At 41.6% G+C, this 12,155-nt stretch overlaps 1 annotated feature.

The window, feature by feature from the left end:
• Positions 9,384-9,483: an enhancer, noted in NCBI's record as "active region_7650". NCBI's record gives its function as "activates an Ori minimal core promoter by ATAC-STARR-seq in GM12878 lymphoblastoid cells {active_cell/tissue: GM12878}" and the evidence as "EXISTENCE:reporter gene assay evidence [ECO:0000049][PMID:35858748]".

A 12,155-nucleotide genomic window follows, 5' to 3' on the forward strand; every position in this document is an offset into this window, starting at 1 on the left:
ACCTGTTTGCTGAAGAGAAATAATTGTGGTGAAAATGAGAAAATTATGTGCTGTGAAGCAAAATTCTATGACATATCCTGACCTTATGTATCCCCTCAGGAAGCATAATGGAAATATTTATGTTTGAAATAAAATTTCTCATGTACTTCCAGCTACACTCAGTGAGTCATTCCTGAAGATCCTTGGGGAAAATTTAGACTATGTTTCTTGGATGAAGATTGATTGGTGGCAGACAGGGGCAGAACATCAAGGGAGATGATATATATGTATAAAGTGGAGGAAACTAGACTATTACTTCTGCTTTTTCAAGTCAAGATGTGATCTGCTGTCATAATATTATATTGCTGGCTTGGCTTTTTTTTGTTTTTTTCTGTCAGTGTGGTTATTGTTACTTCATCTGTGGCCTGTTTCCAAAAGCAATGAGTGAGCCCCCGCAAGATAATCACTAGATTATCTGGTTCTTTCATGACTAATAGGCCAGGGGAATGTACTAAACAAACAGTTCAGCTCGAACGTGTTGCAGGGGATTGAAACTGTCTGAATGAAAATAAAATATGATAAAATAATATAATTCACATGATTCATCTTCTGCAGGACAACCAAGTCTGACATTCCTATTCCATATAAGAAGTGGTAATTTCACAGTGTACATTCAGTAAGGATATAAAATGTAATTTTGGCAGGTTTCATGGTATAAAGTTATAATATGGTTTTGGGGGTTTATAATATGGATGACTTTATTTACCTTGTGGCTGACTATGAGGTAAACTTGCAAATATGTGTCCATATTACATTCATCTACTATGAGCAAATACTTTCGGGTTGTGAACCCAAGGGAAGAAAGTGGTAAAATGGCTTATTTTGCCGCATGAATTTCAGTTTACTCGGGTAATACGAACGTGGCAGGGGCACATTTGTAATTTAGGGAGTTATAACATCAGTGGTTACATTTAATTAAATGACCATCAACATGGGATTATTTAGGAAGCATTTCTTCTTCTTTTCGGTTAAACCTGGATTGACTCACATTTTAAAGCATTTTTGTCCAGAAGAGTAATGGAATCCAACAACTCTCTGTTTTAAATCAATGACTTTGAATCAGTGAGTGGTACTCATAAGAAAAAATACAAGCTAGTTTTTCAGGGGAAAGTATTTCTTTCCTTTACTCAGATATTAGACTCTCGCTCTCAGATGACACATGGGGGTACATTTCTTATCTTCCAATTTTCTTTGGAAAGGATCAGATCAGAAGATGAGAAAACAAATGTTCAGTGTCCACAGAAATCCTGCTTCTTTTAAACAGTGAAATTATGGCTATAATGCTTTATTCGGTGTTCAGTGCAAGTTTAACCCAGCTTTCTAAATGGCGATTTGGTGACATTCAAACCGACAGCCATGACAGGGGCTCAGAGAGGTGAATGACCTCTCAGTCCTCTAAAAGGAAGCCTTTATATACCCAAGTTTACTGTCCTTTCAGAAAATCGTCAGCCAAACGCACTTTATTCTTTCAACAAATGTGTACTGAATGTCCCCCAAGTGTCTTTGTAGTCTCTGACTTTTTGAAGCTTAAGGTCTGATGAGAGAGACAGAAAATATGCAGGTTTTTTAAAAAAATGAAGAGTAAGTCTGTGAAAGCAGTAAAAGTAGAATATAGGAGTGGAGAATGGGGCGGGGGGTGGCATAAGAGGAAGAACAAATTTAGACAGGGTGAGGAGGAAAGCCTCTCAGCTAAAGGCTGTGAAGGCATCAGCCATGAGCATCAATTGCTGTATCCATAGTACCTATAACAGGACCCAACACAGAGTAGGATCTCAATAAATACATGTAGAATGCACAAACGGACAGATGTGTGAGTGAACAGCGCTCGGGCAGAGGAACTGGGCTGGAGAGCAGACAGGTGGCCAGTGGCACTGGAGCACTGTGGACAAGCAGAGAACATGCTGAGATGGGAGGGCAGACAGGCAGGTCGCACACAGGTTACGCAGCAGGTTTTGGGTCCTCTTGGTAAGAAGTTTGAGTTGTACATGTCATAGGAAGATATTGGAGACTTTTAAGATGAGAGAAATCTGAATTTTCGCTTAAAAGATTGTCTAATATTATCCCAAATAGCCAAAACAATCTTCAAAAAGAAGAACAAAGCTGGAGGCCTCATATTTCTTTATTTATTTTATTACAAAATTGCAGTAATCAAGACAGGGTAGTGCTGGCATAAAGACAGACATGTAGAACAGCGGAATGAAATACAGCCCAGAGATCCTGTATATGATCAAATGATTTTCAGTAAGGGTGCCAAGACAATGGGGTAAAGAATAGTCTTTTCAACAAATGTTGGGAAAACTAGATCTCCCTGCAGAAGAATAAATTTGGATCTGTCTTACACCATATTCAAAAATTGACTCAAAATGAATCAAAGACCTAAGCATAAAACCTAAAACTATGAAACTCTTAGAAGAAAACATAGGGGAAAAGGTTCTTTGGATTTTGCAATGATTTCTTGGATATTACCCAAATGTACAGGCAACAAAAGTAAATGGACTACATCAAAAAAAAGAAAAAAGAACTTCTGTGTATCAAAGGACACACTCAACAGAGTGAAAAGGCAACCTATGGAATGGGAGAAAATATTTGTAAATCATATATTTGATATGGGGTTACTGTATAGAATATGTAAAGAACTCTTACAATTCAGCCAGGTGTGGTGGTATGCACCTGTAATCCCAGCTACTTGGGAGGTTGAGGCAGAGGATCATTTGAGCCCAGAAGTTCAAGGCTTAAGTGAACTATGATCATGTCACTGCACTCTAGCCTGGGTGACAGAGTGAGACCGTCTCTAAACTCCGCGCCTCCCTCCAAAAAATTATACACACGCACACACACACACTTCTTGCTCCTTCTTGCTATCCCCATTTCCTCTGCCTTAGTTTAAAAAATTAAGAGAGAGAAATCTGAATTTTGGTTTAAAAGATTGCCTAATATTATCCCCAAAACAATCAAAAACAATCTTCAAAAAGAAGAACAAAGCTGGAGGACTCATATTTCTTGATTTATCTTATTCCAAAATTACAGTAATCAAGACAGGGTAGTGCTGGCATAAAGACAAGCATGCAGAACAATGGAATGAAATAGAGCCCAGAAATAAACCCTCCTCTATACGATCAAATGATTTTCAGTAAAGGTGCCAAAACTAACTCCTACAACATAATAACAAAAAAAATACATAACAACATAATAATGTAATAACAAAAAACCCCACACAAACTATTTAAAAGTGGGCAAAGGACTTGAATAGACATTACTCCAAAAAAGATATACAAATGGCCAGCAAATAAGCATATGAAAATAAAATGCTGAACATCACTAAGCATTAGGAAAATGCAAATCAAAACCACAATGAGATATCACCTCATACCCATTAGGATGGCTACTACCAAAACACAAGAAAATACCAAGTGTTGACAAGGATGTGGAGAAATTAGAAAACTTGTGCACTGTTGGGAAAGGAAAATGGTGCAGCTGCCTTGGAAAACAGAATGACAGGTCCTCAAAAAATTACAAATAGTGTTACCATATCATCGAAACAATTCACTTCTGGATATGTATCTATTGAAAGCAGGGTTTCAAAGAGATATTTGTACATCCGTGTTCATGGCAGCATTATTCACAATAGCCAAAATGTGGAAGCAACACAAGTATTCATCAAACCGATGAACTGATAAACAAAATGTGATATGTACGTACAATGGAATATCATTCAGCTTTAAAGGAAGGAAATTCTGACATATGCTATAACATGGATGACTCTTGATGACATTATGCTAAGTGAAATAAGTCAGCCATGAAAAGACAATTACTGTATTATTTTACTTATATAAGGTAGGTGCCAAAGTGTAGCCCAATTCATGGAAGCAGAAACTTGAATTGTGGTTGCCAGAGGCTGTGGGGAGGGAGAAGCAGGAAGGTGTTGTTTATTGGATATCCACATAGAGTTTCAGTTTTGTGACATTAAAAAGTTCTTGAGTTTGATTGCATAAAAATTTAAATACGAGCAACACTACTGAACTATATGCTTAAAAATGATTAAGATGGCAAATTTTATGATATATGTATCTTGCCACAAGTAAATGAAAGATCGCCTAATATTAATGCCCTGAGGCAAAAGGTATCCTTCCTTCTCCTAGGAGTAGGCCCACGTTGCTCTCTTTCTGTGTAAATAGCATGCCAAGTGACCTGAACACTGAACCAGGTGTTTGCATTAGGCTTGCAGAGTCATTCATTTCTGTGTGCTGGGCTCACCCTCCCACTGGACTGGAACATCGCTTACCAGAAGCTGCTTTGCCTCCTCAATCCCCTGGCAGCCTGGCCACAGTCTGCTCTCCATGAATATTTGTCACCTGCACAAAGTTAGGTGCGATGCCCACAGGGAGCCTCTTCCTCAGATGTGAAGGGCAGTGAGATTCAAGTATACAGGGCCTGACAGCCTCGGGGATCAAGGGCCATAAAAGACACAGGTGAAGAACTAGCTCTACAGACTTTGAGAACATCACCCCAGAGGTGTTAGTGGGGGCTTAAAGACAGTGGCACCATGTCAGCCTGGGCTTGGGAAGGTTCTGATTGAGTAGATCTACGCAGTACTATCAAAAGCACTAGAGGGTGACTGGCAGAAGCATATATTAGAACAATTTCCATTTGGTATCCTTCCAAACATGTAGTAGGACATTACTGGCTTTAAGGTGTAACCAAAGGATTTACAACATTTCGGTGCATCCAGTTCACTCTAGTTTGGGGTACACAGTCCCTAAGTGGATTGCCTTTCTTAGTCCATTTGTACTGCTATAACAGAATAGCACAGACTGGGTAATTTATAAAAACCAGAAATTTTTTTTCTTACTATTTGGGAGGTAGGGAAGTGTAAGATCAGTAGATTTGGTGTCTGATGAGGGCCTGGTCCCTGCTTCTAAGGTGGTGTCTTGAAGATTTCACCCTCTGGAGAGGAGAAATGCTGTGTCTTCAGATGGCAGCAGAGCAGAAGACAGGTCAAACTCAATCCCCTAAGCCCTTTTTATAGCAGCATTAATCCACTCATGAGGGCACCACCCTTGTGACCTAAACACCTCCCATTAAGTCCCACCTCCCAATATTCTTGCATTTGGGGATTAAGATTCCAACAAATGAATTTTGGGAGGGAATACATTCAAACCATAGCAGTGATCAACTGTCAATTATCAAGATGACCCAAATATTTGCATATTTGGCATCAATTGAATTGCTTTCTCTACACCCATCCCCAAACTCTTAGCTTTTTATCATCGTATTTTAGCATAGCCTTACTGTTCTAAACAGTTTGCAAACATTGGGTTGAGGGATTCATAGGGAGGAGAAGGACGGAGGTAAGAAGAGGGGGAAAGGGACCAAGAAGGATAGGAAGAGGAGTGGAAAATATATTGTTTGAGCCCCTAAACCAGTGGTTCTCAAACTTGAATGTGCATCAGAATCACATGGAGGTTTGTTAACATGGAAGCCAGGTGCACCTGAGTTTCTAATTCAGGTCTGGGTTGGGGCCCAAGAATTGGCATTTCTAACTCATTCCCAGGAGATGCCAGTGCTGATGGTCGAAGCCCACACATTTGAGGGTCACTGCTCTAAACAAAAGTAGTGATCTTAATCATGACTGAGCAGCAGACTCACCCGAGGAGCTTTGAAAAATCCTACTGCCCTGGCCATACTCCAGGCCAATTACAAAGAATCTCTGAAGGCAGAACCCAGGCAATAGTATTTTTCAGAGTCCCAAGTGTTTCCAATGGGGCAGCCAAGCTTGAGAATCACAGCTGTAGGCCCTTCCTTCTGAATTTTGCAGGGCAGACCAGCAGCAACAGCATTGCTTGGGAGCATCTTAGAATGCAGAATCTCAGGCCCCAGCCCAAGCTGCTGAGTCAGCACCTGCATCTAAACGAGCAAACATCTCAAGCCTCCATGTGCATTGGGAGCTCTGCAGAGAAATCAAGCAGTGAGAAGCAAGTCCAGCAGAGAGAGATTTTGAGATGCTCACTACAGGATAAGAACCAAATATCTGCAGAAACTGGAAACTTGCTGCTGGTACTGACTCACTGGAGAGTGTGTGAAAGGAACAGATACTCAGACCAGGCAATAGAATATGCTCGTGACTGAATCCACATATCAACGTTGATTCTTAATGTGTCCAAACATGGTTTCTTGCAATGAGCCTTTCACTTAATAAATCAAATTGAGGCCGGGCACAGTGGCTCACACCTGTGATTCCAGCACATTGAGAGGCCAAGGCAGGAAGATCGCTTGGGCCCAGGAGCCAGAGACCAGCAACACAGTAAGACCCCATCTGTAAAAAAGATTATAAAATTAGGCTGGGCACTGTGGCTCAAGCCTGTAATCCCAGCACTTTGGGAGGCCGAGGTGGGCGCATCACCTGAGGTCAGGAGTTCGAGACCAGCCTGGCCAACATGGTGAAACTCTGTCTCTAATAAAAATACAAAAATTAGCCAGGTGTGGTGGTGGGCGCCTATAATCCCAGCTACTGGGGACTACTGGGGAGGCTGAGGCAGGGGAATCGCTTGAACCTGGGAGGTGGAGGTTGCAGTGAGCTGAGATCATGCCACTGTACTCCAGCCTGGGAGACAGAGTGAGACTCCATCTCAAAAAAAAAAAAAAAAAAAAAAAAATTAGCCAGGTGTGTGACACTTGCCTGTAGTCCCAGCTGCTTGGAAGGCTTAGGTGGGGAGGATCACTTGAGCCCAGGATTTTGAGGCTGTGATTGTGCCACTGTACTCGAGCCTGGCGGCAGAGTAAAACTCTGTCTCTAAAAAAGAAAAATCATAATAAAATCATATTGAGAAGAAATGCATTTTAAATCTTCATATGGATGAATTCCTTAGAGTATTAAAACAGTCAATTTTACATTGAATGTGCTTAAAATACCAATAGCTACAATCGTTATACCTTGTAGCACCAAGAATAGCAGCTGCCTTCGTGCAGGGAAGGCCGCCGGAGCAATTTCATCTGTGTGGCCCTTCATTTGGCCTCCCTGGCTCATGGCATCGCCATTCTTCAGATGCTGTTTGGTTAACTTTAAGGGTGATCTGAAAGTGCCAGATATGAGGTTCTGATCTTACCAAAAACAAAAACATCAGCAAACAACGACAACAACAACACAAAGCCAGAAGCAGCTCACATGGTGGAAAGCTACCAAAAGAGGCAAAGGGTATAGCAAAGCTTAGTGATTAGGCACAGGGGCTCTAGAGCCCAGCCTTGTGGGTTCAAACTGAGGCTGTGCCACTTACTAGCTGTGTGTCCTTAGCAAGTGACTTAATCTCTCTGTACTTCATTTTCTTCATTTCTAAAGTGAGGATGACAATGATAGTCCCTCCCTCGCAGGGGTTTTGAGAGGATAAAATGAGTTATTATGTGTCAAGCTTTTAATTCTGGCCAACTATAGTTGCTATATGATAATTACTAAGTGTACAGGTTAAGAGACATAAGGATTTATATTGTTTTTTACATTTTTATTTGTTTTTATTTCTTAGAGACAGGGGTCTTGCTCTGTTGTCCAGGCTGGTCTTGACCATCTGGCCTCAAGCGATCCTCCCACTTCAGCTTACGAGTAGCTGAGGATTTATATTCTTTTGCATAGCTCAACCCCAGGAAAAACCTGAAAGATAGTATCTCAAGCTCTGATGCTGTGGTTGAGTCAATTTGGTGAATAAATTTCTCTAAAGAGGATGGGACATAACTCTCAGTTGTGTAGCTGAGTAACAGGAAGTAAGACGTGATTTGGAACAATGATAAAAAGGACATAAATTAATGAAGAGGACTATTTTTAAAAAAGGAAAAAAAACCACTAACAGTCAACAAGTCCATAATAACCCTAATAGTTAACAATAATCAATAAGGAGTTTAGAAAAGCCCCAGTCCTAAAGAAAAGGATCGGATACATTAAATTCAGAAAAAATAGGCTTTTGTCGACTATTTACACACAACAGAATTCATATTAGAATATTATTTTTTAAATGCTCTCAACAGGCAAAATGAAAAATAAAACTTCCCCCACCCCCTCTTTGGCAAATGGAAGGAAATGTCCTCAGCAGACTTATTCAGAGGGTGTCCCTGGTCTCAAGGTTCTGTCTCTTGGGGCATGTGGGTCCACTAGCCACACAATCCAAACATACTAGAAACATACACAGGAAAATATAACCCAGGCTGTTTTCTCCAAACCTAGAGCTTCCATGAAACCACTGTGAGCCATACACAAGGATCACATCACTTCCCCAAATCACACATTTCAAATTATAAAAACAGCCTAGAGAGAAGTTTCTCCCTCCTGATTTGAAAGAGAGTCACCTCTGGTCAATCCTTATCCACTTCTTTTGTTGGTTCCTTCTTTTCTTGGCTATCTTTTAAAATAGAAGTCTCCTGTCCTTGACTTTCTTCTCTGTCACCAACCCCTCCCTTGAAAACCTCATTCTCATTTGCTTTTGTATCTCCAGTGTAGAAAGACCTCTCTCCTGAACTCCAGACTCATTGTACACAAGTGTCTACCCTTCCTCCAGCATATTTCTCAGATATCTGAAACCTATCACATCCAAAGGTGAACTTCTGACTTCTCCCCAAACCTCCTCCTTCTAAATCTCAGTTGATAGCAACTTGAAGCTTCCAGATATCCATGCCAAAAACCTCAGAGTTCTTCCTAAGTCTCCTCTGTCACATCTAGCATTGGTTCTACCAGGAAATTCTGATTCAAAAATTATCCAGAATGTGACCATGTCTCACCACCTCTGCTGCTGAACCACCCTGATCTGTATCTTTCCTGGATTATTGCAACAGCCTCCTAATCTTTTGAAAACATTACTCAGATCATGTCACTCCTCTGCTGAAAACCCTGCATGGTTCTGGTTCCATATTTCTTTTTTTTGTTTGTTTTTGAGATGGAGTTTCACTCTTGTTGCCCAGGCTGGAGTGCAATGGCACTATCTTAGCTCACTGCAACCACCACCTCCTGGGTTCAGGCGATTCTCCTGCCTCAGCCTTCCAAGTAACTGGGATTACAGGCACCCCCCACCATGTCTGGCTAATTTCTTGTATTTTTAGTAGAGATGGAGTTTCACCATGTTGACCGGGCTGGTCTCAAACTCCTGACCCCAGGTGATCCACCCGCCTCGGCCCCCCAAAGTGCTGGGATTACAGGTGTGAGCCGCTGTACCCGGCAGGTCCATATTTCACTCAGTAAAAATGAAAGTTCTCAGAACCTTCCATGGTCTGGTCACCCTCCTTGTTACCTCGCTGATGTCATTTCCTACAGCTCTCCCCCTCTCCTCCAGCTCTCCACCCATACCAGCCTCCTTGGGTGTGTTCCATCCTAGGGCCTTTGCACTGCAAATAATCCTTTTCATTCTGGTCACCTGCATGCTCTTCACTCAGGTGACCACGTGGCTTACTTCCTCACTCCCTTCCAGTCTTTGCTCAAAAGTCATCTCCTCAATGAGACCTACTCTGACCACTGTTTTTAAAACTGTAGTCTTCCCACTATATTCCCAATTCCCTTACCCTGCCTTACTTTTTGTTTCCCTGAGAACTTTTCATCTTCTGATATACTGAATAATTTACTCATTTACTATCTGTCTCTGCTTGCTAAACTGTAAGCACTGCCAGGTCATGGAAATTTGGCATATTTTATTCACATAGTAGGTACTCAATAAATATTTGTAGAATGAATGAATTATTGATTGACTTGGCTCCTGGCGTTAGTATTCAGCAATCCTATGGGGGGCAGGGAGTCCCGACAATCCTGCTGTGTCATAAGAAGGGTGTATTGCATTTAAAAGACTGAACAAGCATCCTCTTCCAGTAAGGAGCACTGGGCTTTGTACCTCTGCAAGCCCACGCCTTGTCCCTGCTGGCTTCTCCCTCCTGGCCCCAATGCCCACTTGCCTTGTCAAGTACCTGGCCACGCCAATGGTAGTCCTGGGTAAGCTCTGCCTCATATCAGTCTGCTTGGGCTCTGGCACCTTCTGCCACCCAATCCAACCCAAATTTATATAATTCAACAATACCAGCTGACCTTGTATGCTGTGGTCAGTCACTGGTCTAGCGCCAGGCTTCAGTAGGTAGAGGCATGTGTTTAGATCTGGTATCTTTAATTTTAGATATGGTGTAATGTACATCCCCATCACTGCCTTGGAACCAAAAGGAAAGGACAGTGATACCAAACATAATGACACCTTATAGCCTAGCTCCTTGAGGGCCATTTCACAGCCCTCCTATCTTTAGAATTGTAAAATGCCGGCCGGGCACAGTGGCTCATGCCTGTAATACCAGCACTTTGGGAGGCCGAGGCAGGTGGATCACAAGGTCAGGAGTTCAAGACCAGCCTGGCCAACAAGGTGAAACCCCATCTCTACTAAAACAATACAAAAATTAGCCGGGCTTGGTGGCATGTGCCTGTAATCCCAGCTACTCGGGAGGTTGAAGCTGGAGAATTGCTTTAACCCGGGAGGCGGAGGTTACAGTGAGCCAAGATTGTGCCACTGCATTCCAGCCTGGGTGACAGAGCAAGACTCAGTCTCAAAAAAAAGATTAAAAAAATTATAAAATGCCTATCCCTCAAAGTTGTAAGATTTGGTCGAGAAAGCTACAGATTCATTTCAGAATGAGTAGTCAGGGTGAGCCCCCACAGATTACTGAGAAAGCCATCAATCCCTGTCATCTCAGAACTGCTGATCATCATCTCATCTTTCTCTTTGCTCCAATTAACTCTTACTCTTTGGTTAAAACAACTAAGTTACGGGGGAATTAAAGGAAATTCTGTATTGACAAATACATGGGGCTGAACGGTGAATATATGCTAAGTAAGAAAACATATGTCTATTGGAAATTTAAGACTCTTTCCAGATGTTTACATAATTTACTTTTTCTTTCACTATACATGTAATGATTTAAAATGTTTTTTCCATGAAAGAATAAATTATGTTTAAATAGTAAAATGCCTATTGGCCTTGGGTTCTTCCAGGGAAGGCTACCAGTTCCCTTGGAGGTAAAAGCTAAGAAGTAACTAGAGGAGCAACATTGCTTCTGAGAACCCACACTGTGCCAGCCACTGTCATAGACATATGTCAGCTTGTTAGATCTTCAGAAGCACCATGAATGTTAGATGTTATACCTGTTTTACAGATATGGAAATGATGGTTTAGAGGGTGAAATAACTCGTCCAAGGTCACACAGCTAGTAAGTGGTGGAGTCAGGTTTTAAATCTAGGCAAGGCTATACTAAGTACCTGGATCATACCACACTTCTCCCCACTTGAGTCATGGGCTACTGCAGTTGGGGAAATGACTCAGACTTAGAGATAGTGCACATGTACATTCTCTGGAATAGTTCCTGGTATTGAGTAGAGGCTCATTGCATGTTAGTTTCTCACATCCTTTTCTCTAGGATGATTTCTGACAGCACATGAAGTCATGAAGGGGACACACATGAAGTGTGGCCTTAGATTAAAAGTGTGCAGTGTAATCATAATAATACCAAATAGTCCCTACTATTTGCCAGGTGCTGTACTATGTCATTTATGTGTATTAATTCATTTCATCATTTCAACAATCCCATGAAATACGTTCTACTTTTGTCACGCCGTTTAACACTTGCCAAGGTTTCACATTAGAGCTGGTAAATGAGAGAAATGGGACGTGAACTCAGGCAGTCTGTCTCGAGTCCAAGCCTTTAACCACTATGCGATACTGCCCACTAAATTATTAGCCTGCTGTAGTCTAGATACTGTGTACATATATATGTGTGTGTGTGTGTGTGCATATATATATATGTGTGTGTGTGTGTGTGTGTGTGTGTGTGTGTGTGTACTCCACCCTTGAGAATTGCGTTGATATGATTCTCTGGGTCCATCTTACAATGCCATATTATGATTCCACAATATGAGATTGTCCATTATCCTATTACAATGGCTTAATCAGACACATGCTATGAGCCAAGTGGTGGAGATGCCTTCAAAACACCCAAAGGAGTTGGCCAAAGCCGAAGAGGTTGACTTACAGCCCCACCACTCTTCAGCTCCAGGCACTGCACTGGAAACATGCACAATAAGGGAAAATTGACATTGCAATTTGAGTTGCAGATTGTAC

Source organism: Homo sapiens, chromosome 13, assembly GCF_000001405.40.
Source record: "Homo sapiens chromosome 13, GRCh38.p14 Primary Assembly".
NCBI lineage: Eukaryota > Metazoa > Chordata > Mammalia > Primates > Hominidae > Homo > Homo sapiens.